The following is a 20,472-nucleotide window of genomic DNA, read 5'->3' on the forward strand; positions in this document are numbered from 1 at the left end:
CAGAGCTAACCCTGGATAGGACTGGACACAGCAGCCAGACCAAGAGAGGCATCTAGTGAGAAGCAGCTCTTCAGCCCTGGGCCTGGTGCACACATCACTCCTTGGTTTCTAAGAACCAAATTTGGCCCAGCACAGTGGCTCATGCCTGTAATCCCAGCACCTTGGGAGGCCAAAGCGGGTAGATCATGAGGTCAAGAGATCAAGACCATCCTGGCCAACATGGTGAATCCCCGTCTCTACTAAAAACACACAAAAAATCAGCTGGGCATGGTGGTGTGCACCTGTAGTCCTAGCTACTTGGGAAGCTGAGGCAGGAGAATCACTTGAACCCAGGTGGCAGAGTCCAGTGAGCTGAGATCACACTACTGCACTCCAGCCTGGCGACAGAGTGAGACTCTGTCAAAAAAATAAAGCCAAATTCATACAGTCCCTGAGGAGTGGGAACTGATGCACATCTCTTGCATACAATAAGCTATGCTTGTGCTCTGAACAGTGTAAGATTGAGAATTGTATTCCTTTAAAGAAAGTTCGGCAGAACTGTAACTGAATTACTAACAAGGCACTGAGAAGGCATACCGTACTTTGTATGGTATTTGGCGAATGGCATAACACATCAAAAAATTGGTTGTATCATATGATTAAATTGCAACGTGATGATTTCAACTTGGTGGAAGACTTCTGCTTCGTCTTGGTATGTGAAAATCCCCTTTGCTTCAAACTTAATACACACCAAGGAAAACAACCTGATACAAGTTTGCAAGTGTCTTTGAGCTAATGGCTTTTCGTGGGTATTAAAAAGCATTGGGTTATTTATGTATAATTACGTAGAAAGAAAATGTTTGTTCCATTCAAGATACGGTTACACAAAAAGTCATCTAGTTGTGACCTTCAAATTATTACTTATATACCTACAGAAAATTCCTATAAATAGGCTGGGCGCGATGGCTCACACCTGTCATCCCGGCACTTAGGGAGGCCAGGGTGGGCAGATCACCTGAGGTCAGGAGTCCAAGACCAGCCTGGCCAATATGGTGAAAACTTGTCTCTACGAAAAATACAAAAATTAGCCAGGCATGTTGGCCCATGCCTGTAGTCCCAGCTACTCAGCAGGCTGAGGTAGGAGAATCGCTTGAACTCGGGAGGGGAGGCTGCAGTGAGCCAAGATCACACACCACTGCACTCCAGCCTGGGCAACAAAGTGAGACCCCCATCTCAAATAAGGAAAGAAAATTCCTATGAAGAAACACTATACCTCTGAGTTTCAATAATAGAGATGATTAACCCAGTTTCCCTGCAAGGATGTGCTCACTGTGAACAGATGTAGTGGTTACCACTCCAGATGTCTGCCTAGCATTTGAGACAACAGTCTCTGTCACCCCTGCCTCTCTCTGGGAACTTCTGCCCCACCACCATACAGAGGGGCAGTAGGCCCAGCCATAATCAACTGAAACAGACACAGAGTTATGACCTGAGCCTAGGCAATTAGGTTTTCTCAGGAATATGGATCTGGGACTAAAGAACTCAGCATCTTCCTGTGACTGGAGTTGTAGCATGTAAGTACAGAAGCTTTGGAGTGCCCAGAAAGAGCAGAGAAAGCCAAGAGAGTGCCAGGTTTAAGTTGACATAAGAGGTCAACAAAATCGTGAAGTGAGTGTTCTGGGGACCTGAGAGTCAAGGGACTGGATTCTGTACAATGTCTCTGCATCATCATAGTAAACTTCCTACACATGCTTTGAAAGTAAATATCAGATAATTTGGAGCACAGTATAATGGTAAAGTATAAACTGTGAACTTACACAAGGACACCACAATTTCTGCCTCACTGACGAATAACTTGGGGCATGTTCTTGACTGCTCTGAGCCCCCATTTCTTTATCTGTAAAAAGGAAATAAATTACATAGTTGTGAGTTATTGGATGACATAATAAAACCCAGCACAGAGGGCTGGGCGCAGTGGCTCACGCCTGTAATCCCAGCACTTTGGGAGGCCACGGTGGGCGTATCACAAGGTCAGGAGATCGGGAGCATCCTGGCTAACACGGTGAAGCCCCGTCTCTACTAAAAATACAAAAAATCAGCCAGGCATGGTGGCAGGTGCCTGTAGTCCCAGCTACTTGGGAGGCTGAGGCAGAAGAATGGCGTGAACCCAGGAGGCGGAGCTTGCAGTGAGCCGAGATTGCGCCGCTGCACTCCAGCCTGGGCGACAGAGCAAGACCCCATCTCAACAAAAAAAACAAAAAAAAAAAAACCCAGCACAGAGTAGGCATGCCAGCATTCTCTCACTTCTCAGCCTGCAAAAAGATTTACCAATTTACCTCATTTTCTTCTGTTCCTTGTTCTGACCTCAGTGCATGACCCACAGCACCAAGTGTTACTGTCGTTTATGAGTGAACAATTGTGTTAATAAGGAAATAAATTGAATGTTTTCCAGCATTTTGACCTTATTTTTTAAAACTTTGTACCTCCCAGAGCTGGGAAGAGATTCCAGATTTCCAGACTTAGTCCAGAGTCATGACTAATGCTGGACTTCGTCTATAGCTCTTATTGAAATGTCAGAAAACATTTTTTGCCCCAAAAACTATTAACTGATAAATTTATAGCATCAAACTGCATTTTTTAAAGGAGGCTTTTTGTTTTTTCTTTTTTGAGAGAGAGAGAGAGTCTTGCTCTGTCACCCAGGCTGGAGTGCCTTGGCATAGTCTCAGTTCTCTGCAATCTCTGCCTCCTGGTCTCAGGTGATTCTCCTGCCTCAGCCTCCCAAGTAGCTGGGACTACAGGTGTGCACCACCACATCTGGCTAATTTTTGTTTGTTTTTGGTAGAGACGAGGTTTTGCCATGTTACCTAGGCTGATCTTGAACTCCTGGACTCAAGTGATCCACCCACCTCGGCCTCCCAAAGTGCTGAGATTTCAGGTGTGAACCACCACACCTGGCCAAAAGAGACTTTTTTTTTTTTTTTTTTTTTTTTTTTTTTTTTGAGATGAGTGTCGCTCTGTCGCCAGGCTGGAGTACAGTGGCATGGTCTCAGCTCACTGCAACCTCCACCTCCTGGGTTCAAGTGATTCTCCTGCCTCAGCCTCCCGAGTAGCTGGGACTATAGGCACGCGCCACCACGTCCAGCTAATTTTTTGTATTTTTAGTACAGATGGAGTTTCACTGTGTTAGCCAGGATGGTCTCGATCTCCTGACCTCGTGATCTGCCCACCTTTGTCCCCCAAAGTGCTGGGATTACAGGCGTGAACCATCGCGCCCAGCCCATGCCCGGCTAATTTTTTTTTTTTTTTTTTTTTTGGATTTTAGTAGAGACAAGGTTTCACCATGTTGCCCAGGCTGGTCTTGAACTCCTGAGTGCAGGCAATCTGCCCACCTCACCCTCCCAAAGTGCTAGGATTACAGGTATTTGGTTTTTTGTTTGGTTTTCAAGCAACCTTTCTAAATTTTGCTATGCTCACTCTTTCTTCACATGTTGGTACTGGCTAGATACAGATTTTGCTTTCCTATTGGAGACTCTTTTGAGAGCTGGCTATCCCCTCTTGCTCCTTTTCTTTTTTCTCTTCCCTACTTTCAAGTTTCTTGCTCTTTTTCTTACCCCATAAGTTACCAGAAATTCATACCCCCTTGAGAGGGCTTTTTGTTTGAACTTCAGTCTTTAGTTTCGTCAACTTTTCTAAGGCAATTGATCTGTTAATGAAAGTTGGCTTGCTTGACTTCAGAATATCTGTATTATTCAGTGATGTGTTTTTCTGGTTGCTTTGTTTGAGCACAGTGTAAATATCACCCATTGCATAGCTTTGGCAGTGACATAAATCTGGCAGCGTAAGATCGAGAAAAGCTAGAAGTCTCACCACAGATTGTATTTCAGTGAAAGGGATTCTTTTTAACTGCTTATAAAACTAAAGAAAACCTATAAACATGGAAAACAATTATTAAACCCACCATATGCTCATACTGATATTAAATGGTGTGACAGATTCTAGAAAGAGTTACCTTTTGGTAAGAGCACTGCTTGTTAACTATAGTTGATTGCTTTAGATGTCTAGTGTGTACACAAAAGCATGAATTTTATTCCTTATAACCAAAGTAGAAACCTACTCTGAGCAATTTGACAAAAGGTTTACATTATTTATTTTAGTGTAGTTTAAGATTACAGTAAGATACAATTCCCAAAGAGTGAAATATAAGGCTGGGCGTGGTGGATCACGCCTGTAATCCTAACACTTTGGGAGGCTGAGGCGGGTGGATCACCTGAGGTCAGGAGTTCGAGACCAGCCTGGCCAACATGACAAAACCCCGTATCTACTAAAAATACAACAATTAGCCAGACGTGGTGGTGCGCACCTGTAATCCCAACTACTAGGGAGGCTGAGGCAGGAGAATCACTTGAACCTGGTGGGGCGGAGGCTGGAGTGAGCTGAGATCATGCCATTGCACTCCAGCCTGGGCACACTCGCAAAAAAAAAAAGTGCAATATAGCTTTTCACAAAATATGGAACTGTGGTAGTGTAGAACAATGTCTCAATATACCTCCTACACTAAGTATAATAGTAAATATCTGTATTTGGTGGCATAATATGTTCTTAGTATAAACCAAAAACACATGCTGAGCATTGGACATTGTCCAATGTTTAATTCATATGATTCATTCTGAGTTTCTGACTGAGATCATTCTTTCAGACTATGTCTATTTGTCCTGGGACCCATAAAATATGCAGCCCTAACATGATTTCATTTTTGTTTCCTTTCCTGGAAAAGGAGAAATCATTCAGATCAGCTTTCATATTGCCTTATAGACGATGACTTCAAAATAGTTTGAAAGGGACTCCTTTGTTCTAGAACTGCTCTAACACAGTAGCCACTAGCCACATGTGGCTATTGAAAGATTGAAATGTGGTTATTCCAAATCAGGATGTACAGTAAATATAAAATACACACCAGATTTCAAAGGCTTACATGAAAAAAGTAATGTGAAATATCTCACTAGTAGTTTTTATAGTGATTACATGTTGAAATTTTAACATTGTGAACATATTAGTTTAAATAAAATGTATTGTGAAAATTAATTCCATGTTTCTATTTACTTTTGATAAAAGTACTACTAGAGGCTGGGTGTGGTGGCTCACTCCTGTAGTCCCAGCACTTTGGGAGGCTGAGGTGGGAGGATCACGAGGTCAGGAGACCGAGACCATCCTGGCTAACACGGTGAAACCCCGTCTCTACTAAAAACACAGAAAATTAGCCAGGAGTGGTGGCAGGCGCCTGTAGTCCCAGCTACTAGGGAGGCTGAGGCAGGAGAATGGCGCGAACCTGGGAGGCGGAGCTTGCAGTGAGCTGAGATCGTGCCACTGCACTCCAGCCTGGGCTTCAGAGCGAGACTCCGTCTCAGAAAAAGAAACACTACTAGCACATTTTTAAATTACTTGTAGTGATCTCATTTGTACCACATTACATTTCAATCGTATACTGCTTTTCTAAAGAGTCACTGCTAAGCCCTGAAATTAACTCCAAATACCTCCCTGGAATACAGTGCCAAGGCAGGGGCTTCCTTGAACTTCAACCTCCAAAAGTAAGCAAGAATTGAGAAATATCTTCTGCTTTGAAAAATATTCACTCCCCAACCCTAATACATCAATTACATATTATTTGGGGGCTAACTAAGCTCCTGTTTTAAAATGTAAATTGAAGAAATTAGGCCAGAGTCATTCCCATCTTAGTGCCAATCATATAATCAGATAATTAGATTGCTCTTTCCCTAAAGCCTGTTTAGTTTTCTTGTTTGCTGGTTTTGTTGTTGTTGGGTTTTTTAATTTGTTTTTGTTGTTGTTGTTGTTGTTTTGAGATGGATACTCACTGTGTCACCCAGGCTAGAGTGCAGCGGCATGATCTCTGCTCAGTGCAACCTCCAACTCCTGGGTTCAAGCGATTCTCCTGCCTCAGCCTCCTGAGTAGCTGGGACTATAGGTGCATGCCACCACGCCCGTCTAATTTTTTTGTTGTTTTGTTTTTTTTTTGTTGTTTTTTTTTGTTTGTTTTGAGACAGTCTCGCTGTTTCCCAGGCTGGAGTGCAGTGGCACGATCTCGGCTCACTGCAACCTCCACTTCCGAGGTTCAAGCAATTCTCCTGCCTCAGCCTCCCAAGTGGCTGGGACTACAGGTGCATGCCATTATGCCTGGCTAATTTTTTGTATTTTTAGCAGAGATGGGGTTTCGCCATGTTGGCCAAACTGGCCTCAAACTTCTGGCCTCAGGTGATCCAGCCGTCTCAGATCAAAGTGCTGGGATTCCAGGCATGAGCCACCACTCACAGCTCGCTAAGGCCTTTTGCCAAGACAAATTAGCTCTTAGAGAACCACAGGATTCCTCTTGTAATGTATTACAAACTAAAGTCTTACCTGCTCTTGAAGAGTAGAAAACATGAAAAAGTTCTGTTAGCCCTTAGAATAATTAAAAATTCATAAGCTCTGAAATAAATACAGGTAATAAAGGTAATAAAATTATTGCCTATGACAAAACAAAAGTTTAAATTGGCGTTTGTAAACTCTGCACGAAAGCCAGGTTTCTCACTACTAGAAAAAGAAAAAAAGTTATAAATAAGCCAAGAATTCCAGAATGAATCCTGTGGTGCCAAATATATGTTAACTACAAGGAATAACAGTGACCTTACACTGGAAACACCTTAACCATGGGCCAAGGTTAAAGATATAACAGCATTCTCACACCCCTTGCACAGCTACCCCCAATGTTAACATAACTGTTAATAAATTATCAAAACTAAGAAATTAGTCTTGGTATAGTATCACTAACTACACTCCAGACCTCAGTCAGGTTTTCCCAGTCTTTCCTTCAGTGTCCTTCCTCTGTTTCAGGATTCAATCCATGATCCTTGACACTTGGTACTTTGTCAGATGTCCTGCTATATGGGTTTGTTTGATGTTTTCCCATGATTAGGGATAGACACTGCAAGACTCAGAGCTACTTTACAAAGAAGCCTCTAGGGAGCTCCCCAGAGAAGACAGGGGAGACAACACAGGGACACTAGAGGAAATTTTAGCCTCTGACATCCATGACTATATAGCAAAGAGTAAACAAAGCCTAACTCCTAGCCAGAGAAATACAAAATCTCATACTAAAGCCTTATTTAACTCAGTTCCTTTCACCCAGTACATCATATACAGCCTCAAACAAAAAATTACAAAGCATACTAAAAGACAAGAAACCCCACACTTTGAAGAGACAGAGCAAGCATCAGAACCAGACTCAGATATGAAAGAAATATTGGAAGTGTCCAACCAGGAATTTAAAATAACTAAGATTAACATGCTAGGGGCTCTAATGTAAAAACAGCATAACATGCAAGAACAGATGGGTAATGTAAGCAAAGAGATAAAAACACTAAGAAGAAATAAAAATGAAATACTAGAAATAAAAAACACCATAACAGAAATGAAGAATGCCTTTGATGGGTTCATCAAAAGAATGGATATGGCCAATGAAAGAATCAGTGAGCTTGAAGAGATGTCAATAGATACTTCAAAAGCTGACACACAATGAGAAAAAAGAATGAAAAAGAAAAAACAGAACAAGAGTCAAGAACTGTGAGACAATTACAAAAGGTGGAACATGGAGACTTTTTGGAAATACCAGAAAGAGAAGAAAAAGAGAAAGAAAGCTGGGCGTGGTGGCTTATGCCTATAATCCCCACACTTTGGGAGGCTGAGGCGGGCAGATCACAAGGTCAGGAGATCGAGACCATCCTGGCTAACACGGTGAAACCCTGTCTCTACTAAAAATACAAAAAATTAGCAGGGCATGGTGGCAGGCGCCTGTAGTCCCAGCTACTAGGGAGGCTGAGGCAGGAGAATGGCGCGAACCTGGGAGGCGGAGCTTGCAGTGAGCTGAGATCGTGCCACTGCACTCCAGCCTGGGCAACAGAGCAAGACTCCGTCTCAAAAAAAAAAAAAAGAAAGAAAGAAAGAAACAGAAGAAACATTTGAAGCAACAGTGACTGAAAATTTCCCCAAATTAATGATATATAAAGATATGGTCTGAATGTTTGTGTCTCCTCAAAAGTTATATTGAAACTTAATCCTCAATATGATAGTACTGAGGTGGGGCTTTTGGGAGTCAATCAGGTTATGAGGGCTCTATCCTCAGGACAGAGATTAGTGCACTTATGAAAGAAGCCCCAGGGAATTAGCTAGCCCCTTACACCATGTGAGGACAAAGCCAGAATGTGCCATCTATGAGGAAGGAGGGCCTCACCAGACACTGCTAGTGCCTTGGTCTTGGACATCACAGCCCCTAGAACTGTGAGAAATAAATTTCTGTTGTTTATAAACTCTCCAGTTTATGAAATTTTTGTCACAGCAGCCCAAATGAACTAAGGTAGACATAAAGGAACAGATCCAGGAAGCTCAAAAAACACCATATAGGATAAATAACAAAAATGTTACATCGAGGTATATCTTTTTTTTTTTTCCTAAGATGGAGTTTCGCTCTTGTTGCCCAGGCTAGAGTGCAATGGTGCAATCTCAGCTCACTGCAGCCTCTGCCTCCTGGGTTCAAGCGATTATCCTGCCTCAGCCTCCCAAGTAGCTGGGATTACAGACCCCCGCCACTAAGCCCAGCTAATTTTTTGTATTTTTAGTAGAGATGGGGTTTCACTATGTTGGCCAGGCTGGTCTTGAACTCCTGGCCTCAGGTGATCTGCCTGTCTTGGCCTCCCAAAGTGCTGGGATTACAGGCATGAGCCACTAGGCCTGCCTAAGTATATCTTATCTAGACACAGATCTCAATCCTTTCACAAAAATTAACTCAAAAGGGATCATAGACCTAAATGTAACATGCAACACTACAGAATTCCTAGAAGATAACATAGGAGAAAACTCAGGTGACCTTGGATTTGGTGATGACTTTTTAGATATAACATCAAAAACATGACTCATAAAAGAAAAAATTGGTAAGTTGGACTTCACTAAAATTAAATTTTTCTGCTCACACAGGACACTGTTAAGAGAATGAAAAGGTAAGCCATTAAATGGGAAAAAATCTTTGCAAAAAAATAGTTCTTTATATATGATATATAATAATATATATCATATATAATATTATATATATATATATTCTGAAAAAGGCAAAACCATAGAAACAGTAAGAAGTTCAGTGGTTGCCAGGAGTTAGGTGTTGGGGGCGGGGAGGGTGGATAAATGGTGGAGAACAGCTGATTTTTAGGGTAGTGAAACTATTCTGTTTCTGTAATGATGAATACATGTCATTATACATTTGTCAAAACCCATAGACTATACAACACCAAGAATGAACTCTAATGTAATCCACAAAGCACTATTGTTAACAAAGCTTTAATAATGGCTCATCAATTATAACAAATGTACTATAACTAATGCAAGATGTTAATAATAAGGGAAACGGGGGTGGGAGGGTTTGGGGTAAGAGGGCATATGGGAATTCTCTTCTGTTTGCTCACTTTTCTGATAAGCTGTAATTGTTCAAACAATAAAATGTATTATTAATAGTTTTCAAAAATTCACTCAATGGGCTACATAGCAGAATGCAGATGACAATGATAGGAGTTTGTGAACTTGACGACAGATTAGAAATGGTAGACCTAAATCCTACCAAATCAATAATTACATTAAATGTAAATGGTCTAAATATACCAACTGTAATGCAGAGATTGTCAGACTACATTAAACAGACAAGACCTGAGTACATGCTATTTATAAGAAAATCACTTTCAATATAAAGACTTAATTGATTAAAAGAATGGGCTGGGCTTGGTGGCTCACACCTGTAATCCCAGCACTTTGGGAGGCCAAGGCAGGCAGATCAAGAGGTCAGGAGACCGAGATCATCCTGGCTAACACGGTGAAACCCCGTCTCTACTAAAAATACAAAAAATTAGCCAGACATAATGGCACGCACCTGTAGTCCCAGCTACTTGGGAGGCTGAGGCAGGAGAATCGCTTGAACCTCAGAGGTGGAGGTTGCACTGAGCTGAGATCATGCCACTGCACTCCAGCCTGGGTGACAGAGTGAGACTTCATATCAAAAATATATATATAGAAAAATAAAATTAAAAGTGGAAAAATGCAAATACTAATCAAAGGAAATTAGGCTGGGTGTGGTAGCTTACACCTGTAATTCTAGCACTTTGGGAGGCCAAGGCAGGAAGACTTCTTGAGGCTAGGAGTTCCAGACCAGCCTGGGCAACAGAATGAGATCCCTTCTCTACAAATGAAAAAAAAAAGTTTAAATAGCCCAGCATGGTGGCATGCATGGTATAATGTACCCTAGCTACTTGGGAGGCTGAGGTGGGAGGATCGCTTGAGCTCAGTAGTTTGAGGTTACAGCAAGCTATGATCACACCACTGCACTCCAGCCTGGGCAACAGAATGAGACCCTGTATCTAAAAAAATAAGCAAAAGAAAAAGGAAATGAGAGTGTCTATATTAATATCAAAGTAGACTTCAAACAAAGATGATTACCATGAATAAAGAAGGATATTACATAATTATTAAAGGGTCAATTCAACAAGAAGACATAACAATCATAAATGTGTAAATATAATTCCATAGTAAAAGGAATCAGGAGGCTTGAGAGATGCTTATTTCAGGTCTGGGGTAAGGAATGTACAAAGTGAACCAGGACTAATGAAGTTATATTAAAACTCCAAAAGACGAAAAGAGTCATTTAAAAGACTAATGGAGTCATATGAAAAGGTCCCAGGAGCCAACAGAAAGGACTCCCCTTGGCCAAATCTGGAACATTTTGACAGTTTGAGCATCAATAAGAGTAATGAACCATAATTGACTAGAAGACATTTAAAGCATAAAAATTCTTGAGTCCATAATCATACTCAATAAAGATGAAAACAAACCATCTTAATCATCACTGATGGGGGTGGCTGTTATTCAAGTTCTTATTCTAAAACTTGGTAATTAAAGGTAAGTAAAGAATAATGTATTCTTTCTCTGCAGTGGAACTAAGTTTTAGATACAAAATAACCCCAGTGGATGAGGGAAAGTTCTTTAGAGGTAAGAATGACAGTTAATAAATGTAGAAAAAAAAAGATAATTTAATCACCATTTTGCAACTTCTAATTAAGTAACTGATCTGAGAAAGAATCATTACTGCATGCTAAAACCATTAAGGGAAAGATGTCAAAGATCTCAGTGTTCCAACCCATAGAATACTTTCCAGTGGCAAGAAGATAAATCGATAGTTAACCCTATAATCTTAGAATCTCTAATAGTGGGTACACTAGATATTATGTGAAGAAAATGGCATCAGGCTGGGCGTGGTGGCTCATACCTGTAATCCCAGCACTTTGGGAGGCAGAGGTGGGTGGATCACCTAAAGTCAGGAGTTCGAGACCAGCCTGGCCAATATGGTGAAACCCCATCTCTACTAAAAATACAAAAACTTTCAGGGCATGGTGGCGAGCACCTGTAATCCCAGCTACGTGGGAGGCTGAGGCAGGAGAATCACTTGAACCCAGGAGGCGGAGGTTGCAGTGAGCCGAGATCGTGCCACTGCACTCCAGCCTGGGTGACGAGAGTGAAACTGCATAAGAAAGAAAAGAAAAGAAAAGAAAGAAAGAAAGAAAGAAAGAAAGAAAGAAAGAAAGAAAGAAAGAAAGAAAGAAAATGATATCAATGGTGAAGAATTGTTGTCCAACATGTTTAATGTAATTGTGTTCAAGCCTAAAATTCTGCTTTACTGGAAATAAAAGAGAATACAGTTAAAGGACACCATGAGGAAACAATCAGATAAATACAGAAAGTGAGAACATTGACCCAACTTCTGTAAGTCAACTGGCTAGGTCTCTCCAATAAGTTCAAAGTCAAGAAAAAAAAGGGGGGGCCAGGTACTACACTTGATTTTTAAAAAGCTTAGAGACAAACAATGAAATGCAACCTATGCTCCTTAATTAGAACCCTATTTAAACAAACCAGCTCTCAAAGACATTTTTTGGGGTCAAAAAGGGAAAGGTGAATATAGTCTGGTTATTAGAGAACATTTAGAAAGCACTGTTACTTGTATTAGGTGTGAAAATTGTGTGATTATATTGTGAAAGAATTCCTTCTTTAAAAAAGATGCATTCTAAAGTATTTAGGGGTGAAAAGTTTAAAGTAATTTACTTCAAACTACAGTGAAAAAAATTTAAACACTGCAAAATATTAACTGCTAAATCTAGATGGTGGCTTTATAATATTCATAGATGAACATATTTCCTTTAAATTTCTATGTGCTTAAAATTTTTCATGTTAAGTAATATATGTATTACACTGGGATACATATAACTATGATTGACAGAAAATAACACTAAAAGTGCAAGATCACTGATTCTGTCTAGGAAGTAGGATTATAGGGACTTCAATTTTCAAGTTAGCTTTTTTTTTTTGAGACGGAGTCTTGCTCTATCGCCCAGGCTAGAGTGCACTGGCGCAATCTCAGCTCCCTGCAAGCTTCGCCTCCCGGGTTCACACCATTCTCCTGCCTCAGCTGGGACTACAGGCACCACCACCATACCCGGCTAATTTTTTTTGTATTTTTAGTAGACACAGGGCTTCACCGTGTTAGCCAGGATGGTCTCGATCTCCTGACCTCAGGTGATCTGCCCACCCTGGCCTCCCAAAGTGCTGGGATTACAAGCGTGAGCCACTGTGCCCAGCCAGAAAAGAATATTTTTTAAAAAAGAAAATCCATAATCGTAGTAACATTTTCTAGATGGAAAAAACAAGAAAGAAAAATAGAAAATTAGGTACAGAAGGTAAGTTCCATTCAGCTGTGCTCAATTTTGGTAACATATTAAACATGGTCAAACGCTTCCTCATATTCCATGTCCCCCTTCCCACCACATACCATGGCAGTTTTTTCAGATGAATAAAAACAAAAGCTATGGACATGAATGCATTACCGAATGTCAAACTTGCGATGACCTGGCTCAAGCAGCAGAGGGTGCTCAAGATATTTCTGGATCACGTGCACTGGGCCCTGGTTGTCTATGAAATGGAGAAGCTCTGAAGCCTCTGAGGAGATGAGAATGCCTTCACCTAACAGGGAAAAAGCAAAAGAGAAACCAATCCAATTCAAACCAAGAGCTCTCTATAAAGCCAGAAAGGAAATACGAACAGCAAAAACCCCACAAGAGGCTTTCAATGTCCTGCTCACCTTTTTCCCTCCCTTCCTTACTCCAGTCCCCCACATGCTCCCTTCTCCCCTCAAGAGCACCCAGGATTATCCTACCAACTCTTTCTCCATACAGGTGTCAACGCTATCTTGGCTGGCTACAACCATGAAACGTCAGTTTTACAGAAATTCGTAGTGCCTAAGCACTCAAAATAAATACCATTCTAGTACTAGTCACTGGCTACCACAATAAAGACTATAACAACAATAAATCCCCTTCCTTCACTATATCTTATAGAACTACCAGGAAGATAAAGGCATAAAGATGAATGTTCAAGTACGTCCCTTGCAGCATTGCAATAGAAAAAACTGGATACATTGGAATTGTCCATTAACATTAAATAATTGATATATCCTTTTTAATAGCTTGAAGTATAATTCATATACCAAAAAATTTATCCTCTTAAAGTGCACAGTTCAATGGCTTTGAGTATATTCAAGAGTTTTAAACCATTACTACAGTTTTTGTTGTTATTTCTTTGTTTGTTTGTTTGTTTTTGAGATGGAGTCTCACTCTGTCGCCCAGGATGGAGTGCAGTGGCGCAATCTCAGCTCACTGTAACCTTCGCCTCCTGGATTCAAGCAATTCTCCCACCTCAGCCTCCCAAGTAGCTGGGATTACAGGTGTGCACCACCATGCCTGGCTAATTTTTGTATTTTTAGTACATATGGGGTTTCACCATGTTGGCCAGGATGGTCTTGGTCTTCTGACCTCGTGATCTGCCTGCCTTGGCCTCCCAAAGTGCTGGGATTACAGGTGTGAGCCACCATGCCCGGCCTACTACAGTTTAATTTTAGAACGGTTTCACCACTCCCCCCAAAAAAACTCTGTACCTATTAGCAGTCACTCACTACTCCCTCCTCACCCCAGCTTCTGACAACCACTAATCTACTTTCTGTATGTATGGATGTCTCATCTGGACATTTCATATAAATGGAATCACACAGTATGTGGCCTTTTGTGTCTAATTTCACTTAGCACAAAGTTTTCAAGGCTCATCCCCATTGTAGTGTGTATTAGCATCATGTTCACTCCTTTCTATGGCTGAAGAGTCATTTTTGTTCATTTAGTCATCAATTGATGGACGTTTGCATTGGTTCCATTCTTGTCTGCCTCTTATGAATAATGCTGCTATAAGATTTGCATACAAGTTTTTGTGAACATATATTTTCAATTCTCAGGAATACTAGGTATGCAGGTGTGTGCCACCACATTGGCTAATTTTTGTATTTTTTTGTAGAGCTGGGGTCTTACTGTTTGCTCTTTTTCTAATTGGATTGTGTGTCTGTTGTTGTTTACTGTTAAGTTTTGAAAGTTGTTTACATATTCTAGATCTGAGTCCCTTGTCATATGTATGACTTAAAAATCCTTTCACCCAGTTTGTAACTCATTTTTATACTCTAATGAGGTGTTTCATAGAGCAGAAGTTTTATTTTGATGAGGTTCAATTTATCAATTTTTACTTTTATGGATTATACTTTTGGAGTCAAGCTCAAGAACTCTTTGCCAAGCCCTATCTCCTCTTTTCTGAAAAATTATTAGGTCCACGATCCATTTTGAGTTAGTTTTTGTATGAGGTGTGAAGCTTATGTTGATGTTCATTTTTCTGCCTGTTGATATCCACCTTATCTAGTACAATTTGTTGAAAAGTTTATCCTTCCTCTATTGAATGGCTTTTGCACCTTTTTCAAATATCAGATGGGCATATATGTTTTGGTCTATTTCTGAGTTCTCTATTCTCTTCCACTGATTTATGTTTCTTCTGTTTTTGAGACAGAATCTTGCTCTGTCACATAGTGGTGTGATCTCGGCTCACTGCAACCTCTGCCCCCTGGTTCAAGCAATTCTCATGCCTCAGCCTCCCGAGTAGCTGAAAGTACAGGCATGCGCCACCACACCTGGCTAATTTTTTTTGTATTCTTAGTAGAGATGGGGTTTCACCATGTTGGCCAGGCTTGTCTTGAACTCCTGACCTCAGGTGATTCACCCGCCTTGGCCTCTGCTGGGATTTCAGCCGAGAGCCACCGTGCCTGGCCCCACTGATTTATGTTTCTATTTTTTCATGAATACTACAGTGTATTAAGTACTATAGCTCTAAAATACATCTTAATATCAGGTAGCATGTTCACTTATATTCTTCTTTTTCAAGATGTTTAAGCTATTCTAGGGCTTGTGCCTTTCCATATGAATTTTTATTATTTATTTATTGATTGAGATGGAGTCTTGGTCTTGTCGCCTAGGCTGGGCCCAAGCGATTCTTCTGCCTCAGCCTCCTAAATACCTGCAATTACAGGCGCCCTCCACCATGCCTGGCTAATTTTTGTATTTTTAGTAGGGACAGGGTTTCACCATGTTGGCCAGCCTGGTCTCGAACTCCTGACCTCCGGTGATCCACCTGCCTTGGCCTCCCAAAGTGCTGGGATTATAGGCGTGAGTCACTGCACCTGGCCTCCATGTAAATTTTTTTTTTTTTTTTGAGATGGAGTCTCGCTCTGTTGCCCAGGCTGGAGTGCAGTGACATGATCTTGGCTCACTGCAACCTCCGTCTCCCGGGTTTACGCCATTCTCCTGCCTCAGCATCCCGAGTAGCTGGGACCACAGGTGCCCACCACCACGCCCGGCTAATTTTTTGTATTTTGAGGAGAGACGGGGTTTCACCATGTTAGCCAAGATGGTCTCGATCTCCTGACCTCATGATCCACCTGCCTCGGCTTCCCAAAGTACTGGGATTACAAGTGTGAGCCACCGTGCCCGGCCCCTCCATGTAAATTTTAAAAGAAGCTCCATGTCTATACAAAAATCTTGCTAACATTTTGATAAGAATTACATAAACCTATAGACCAGTTTGGGGTGAACTGACATCTTTACTATACTGTCCTGCAATCCATGAACACAGTATGTCTGTCCATTTCTTTAGGTCCTCTTTGACTTCCTTCATAATCATTTTACTATTTTTAGCATACAGAGCCTATACATGTCTTGTTAAATTTATACCCAAGCATCACATTTTCTCTAGGGTGACTGTAAGTAGTACTGTGGTTTTTTGGGGTTTTTTTAGACGGAATTTTTGCTCTCTTGCCCAGGCTGGAGTGCAATGGTGCGATCTCAGCTCACTGCAACCTCTGCCTCCTGGGTTCAAGCGATTCTCCCACCTCAGCCTCTTGAGTAACAGGGATTACAGGTGACTGCCACCAAGCCCGGCTAATTTGTGTATTTTTATAGAGACAGGGTTTCAGCAAGTCGGCCAGACTGGTCTCGAACTCCTGACCTCAGGTGATCCGCCCGCCTTGGACTCTCAAAGTGCTGGGATTACAGGTGTGAGCCACTGCGCCCAGCTAAGTAGTTTTGTGTTTTTAACTTTGGTTTCCACATGTTCATTGTTGGCATATAAAAATGTGATTAAGTTTTGTGTGTTGCTCTCATATCCCATAATATGGCTGAACTCACTCTTTAGTGAGTTGTCACCACTTCTTATTTTAACCATTTTAATAAAAGTGTAGTGACAGCTCGCTGTGGTTTCAGTTTGCTAGAATCTTCTGATCTATGCTTTAGATTTATAGCTGATTTCTACCTGGATCTCATGCTTTCTTTATAAATGAATTCAATTCAGTTCATTAATTCAATGATCCACCTTTCCCAAACGTTAACGCCCTTTTCAACTATCTTCTTCCTGTCACTTGTTCGACCATCTGGTGAGCTTCTTGAACAAGAAACTGCAAATCAACCTGGAAAAGCTCCCTTCTTCTCTTTCCCTACACACATGACTCATGCTGTTTCATCTCCCTTAGGAATCAGACTCAGATTTTTTGATACAACAGTATCAAAAATTATAAAATAAATTTGAATTTTATGTATCGTTTTATACCTATAAAATAAGAAAACAAAAATGGTGATACTTTTAGTAGAAGTTCGTCATGAACTGCTCCCTGTTAGCTCACGGCCCTTTGAAAAAGCAAGAGGATAACACAGAGCAAGAGCCATAAAGGCTTCATATCATTTGACCAAGTAATCTCATGTTTCAAACTTACTCTAATGAAATTTTTAAGAAGAAACAAGAGTCAAGGCTGGGTGTGATGGCTCATGCCTGTAATCCCAGCACTTCGGGAGGCTTGAGGTGGGAAGATCACTTGAGCTCAGGAGTTCAAGAACAGCCTGGGTAACATAGTGAGACTTCATCTCTACTAAAAATCAAAAAATTAACAGGGTGTGGTGGTGCACGGCTGTCGTCCCAGCTACTCAAGAGCTTGAGATGGGAGCGGGCCCGGGCACGGTGGCTCACGCCTGTAATCCCAGCACTTTGGGAGGCTGAGGCGGGCGGATCACGAGGTCAGGAGATCGAGACCATCCTGGCTAATGTGGTGAAACCCTGTCTCAACTAAAAATACAAAAAATTAGCCAGGTTTGGTGGTGGGTACCTGTAGTCCCAGCTACTCGGGATACTGAGGCAGGAGAATGGCCTGAACCTGGGAGGCGGAGCTTGCAGTGAGCTGAGATTGCACCACAGCACTCCAGCCTGGGCGACAGAGTGAGACTCTGTGTCAAAAAAAAAGAGGTTGAGGTGGGAGGATCGCTTGAGCCCAGGAAGTCGAGGCTGTAGTGAACTGAGATCATGCCATCTCACTCCAGCCTGGGCAACAAAGTGAGACCTTGTCTCAAACACACACACACACACACACACACACACACACATACAGACACATATATATATAAAATAAAAAATTAAAATTAAAAAAGAAACAAGGGTGATCTACAGCAAAGACATTTACTACTGTTATCTGTAATAGCGGAACAATGGGGTTGTTTCTAAACAATAATTTTCTGTTATAGATGTAGTGTGTTCCCACGCTCCAGGTGAGAGGTGAAGGTGGCTAGATTAGAGATAGGCAGTGGACATGGTAAACAGTGGCTTCATAATGGGTAGAGTTTGAAGGTTGAGCCAACTATACAAAGCATGTAGTGGGTACCAAATAAATACTTGTTTAACAAGAATAAAAGCCATTCATTCATCCTATTGATTTCATTTTATGGTTTCCAAACATAATAAATATATATCAAATATATATCTCTTCAACTCCTAAAGCAAAAAGTCTTTAGCATTTTATTCTCTCTTGACTTCCCCCTGCTGCTTGGTGTCCCTCTGAGTCTTGTCTTGGTGAGGGTCCAGGGATCACCAGGTGTCCTCACAGTGGCCATTCTGACTCCAATCCCAAACCCACCGGAGAAGGGATGTCTATTTCCTCTTCCAAATCCGTCATTTACCATTGGAACCACACTAGGGGGCAGTAGTTGAGAAAAGGTCACAAGAGGGGAGAGAGAAGTAGGTGAGATACCTGACTTGTGGCAAGAGTCCAACTCTCCCCCTTTCAGGGATACCAGTTGAGGCCTTCCTGTCTCATGGCTGGTGGAAAAGAAGGTGAGGTCCCTTCGACCCAGAACAGAAATGAGTACCAATGGCCAGATGTCTCCCAAGGCAATACAAGAAGTGAGTTCAAAGTGGAATGGTTTTTTTTTTATTTTTTGAGAAGGAGTCTTGTTCTGTCGCCCAGGCTGGAGGTGCGATCTCAGCTCACTGCAAGCTCCACTTCCCGGGTTCACGCCATTCTCCTGCCTCAGCCTCCCGAGTAGCTGGGACTACAGGCTCCCACCACCACGCCTGGCTGATTTTTGTATTTTTAGTAGAGACGGGGTTTCACCATGTTGGCCAGGCTGGTCTTGAGCTCTTGACCTCAAGCGATCTGCCCTCCTCAGCCTCCCAAAGTGCTGGGATTACAGGTGTGAGCCACTGTGCCCGGACTTTTTTTTTTTTTTTTTTTTAAAGAAAAGGTAGCATCTGTTTTCTCAGCCTGCTTCCTGCTAGAATTTTGGAGGTCCAACAATTCCTTTTTATGTTGTACTGGGTCTGCCTTTTCCACTCCAAACTGACACACAGATTTCTCAGGAAATTTGTGGGTCTTTTTGTTTGCTTGCATAATGTGTTAACTACATTAGACGAAACCCTACAAATCTCTCTGGATAAACCCTTCACTATCTTGAGCTTCTGCTGAGAGGCTGAGGAAAAATACTCTTAAGCTCCCTAGAGGTTTAATTGTTTGAGACAATCTGAGAGCAACACCCTTAATCTCTTTAAAGGGACCTTTGTGTGACTGAATATGACTGTGATCCTTTGGTCTCTCTGAGATTTTAACATTAGATTGTATATACATAGAAATAGGTAACTAATGCAGGCAGCGTTTAGCATTCTCCACTATATAGTGGATATAAACGCAATTCCCTCTCATTATTCTTTGACTTAGTGTCTTGGTGATTCTGAAGCATTTATTTTTCCATGTAATTTTTGAAATCCTTTTAGCTAGCTCAAACACATTGTGTAAGAACTGCAGCAATATCCATACATTATTAATGTTGGGAGGATTTTTATTCCTATGATAGTGAGTCTCCCCATTCAGATACGGTGTCTCTCAATGTACTTAGTTTTAACGTCCACTACAAAATTTTATTCAAGTTAAACTCATGTCCTTGATGTTATTTTTATTTCACTTTGAATTTAGTTGCTATTCAATGACATGGTTTTCCATTTCCATTTCTGATTTCTGTTCATAGAGAAAACATGTGCAACTATTTAACCAAATTTACTTATTCGTTTAAGATTGTTTTTGTTCCTTTTTTTTTTTCAAGACAGAGTCTTGCTCTGTCACCCAGGCTGGAGTGCAGTGGTGCGATCTCTGCTCACTGCAAGCTCTGCCTCCCGGGTTCACGCCATTCTCCTGCCTCAGCCTCCCGAGTAGCTGGGACTACAGGCACCCGCCACCACACCCGGCTAATTTTTTGTATTTTTAATAGAGACGGGGTTTCACCATGTTGGCTAGGATGGTCTCGGTCTCCTGACTTCATGATCTGCCCACTTCAGCCTCCCAAAGTGCTGGGATTACAGGCGTGAGCCACCGCGCCCGGCCTGTTTTTGTTTCTTTTCTAAAATATCTTGGATGGTTTTGCCTACTTTCCAACATTTAAATTGATTATTTCAATTTTTTTTTTTTTTTCTTTGAGACGGAGTCTCCCTCTGTCACCCAGGCTGGAGTGCAGTCTCGCGATCTCGGCTCACTGCAACCTCTACCTCCCGGGTTCAAGTGATTCTCCTGTCTCAGCTTCCCGAGTAGCTGGGATTACAGGTGCGCACCACCATGCCTGGCTAATTTTCTTTTTGGATTTTTAGTAGAAACGGGGTTTCACCATGTTGACCAGGCTGGTCTCGAACTCCTGA

The 20,472-nt window shown here is 41.6% G+C and overlaps 1 long non-coding RNA gene across 1 annotated transcript, besides 4 other annotated features; it reads right to left on the reverse strand.

Moving 5' to 3' along the window:
- Nucleotides 1-382: 382 nt before the first annotated feature.
- On the reverse strand, nt 383-18,706 carry LOC102724848 (uncharacterized). The gene is made up of 3 exons (XR_427154.5): nt 18,542-18,706; nt 12,939-13,074; nt 383-1,876 (listed from the first exon to the last, which is right to left on the reverse strand). It is a non-coding gene; the product is annotated as an uncharacterized LOC102724848 (long non-coding RNA).
- Nucleotides 11,308-11,587: a mobile genetic element, noted in NCBI's record as "direction; forward".
- Nucleotides 11,308-12,419: a biological region, named in NCBI's record as "2q13 recombination region". NCBI's record gives its function as "recombination_partner: LOC107305685".
- Nucleotides 11,439-12,419: a meiotic recombination region, noted in NCBI's record as "meiotic double-strand break mapped by DNA meiotic recombinase 1 chromatin immunoprecipitation followed by single-stranded DNA enrichment and sequencing in the germ cells of some male individuals with the PRDM9 A/C genotype". NCBI's record gives the evidence for it as "EXISTENCE:chromatin immunoprecipitation-seq evidence [ECO:0000229][PMID:25395542]".
- Nucleotides 11,538-11,571: a non allelic homologous recombination region, noted in NCBI's record as "2q13 recombination sub-region, recombines with the 2q12.3 distal recombination sub-region". NCBI's record gives the evidence for it as "EXISTENCE:nucleotide sequencing assay evidence [ECO:0000219][PMID:23657883]".
- Nucleotides 18,707-20,472: the final 1,766 nt, after the last annotated feature.

Source organism: Homo sapiens, chromosome 2 (genome assembly GCF_000001405.40).
Source record: "Homo sapiens chromosome 2, GRCh38.p14 Primary Assembly".
In the NCBI taxonomy this organism is placed as follows: Eukaryota; Metazoa; Chordata; class Mammalia; order Primates; family Hominidae; genus Homo; species Homo sapiens.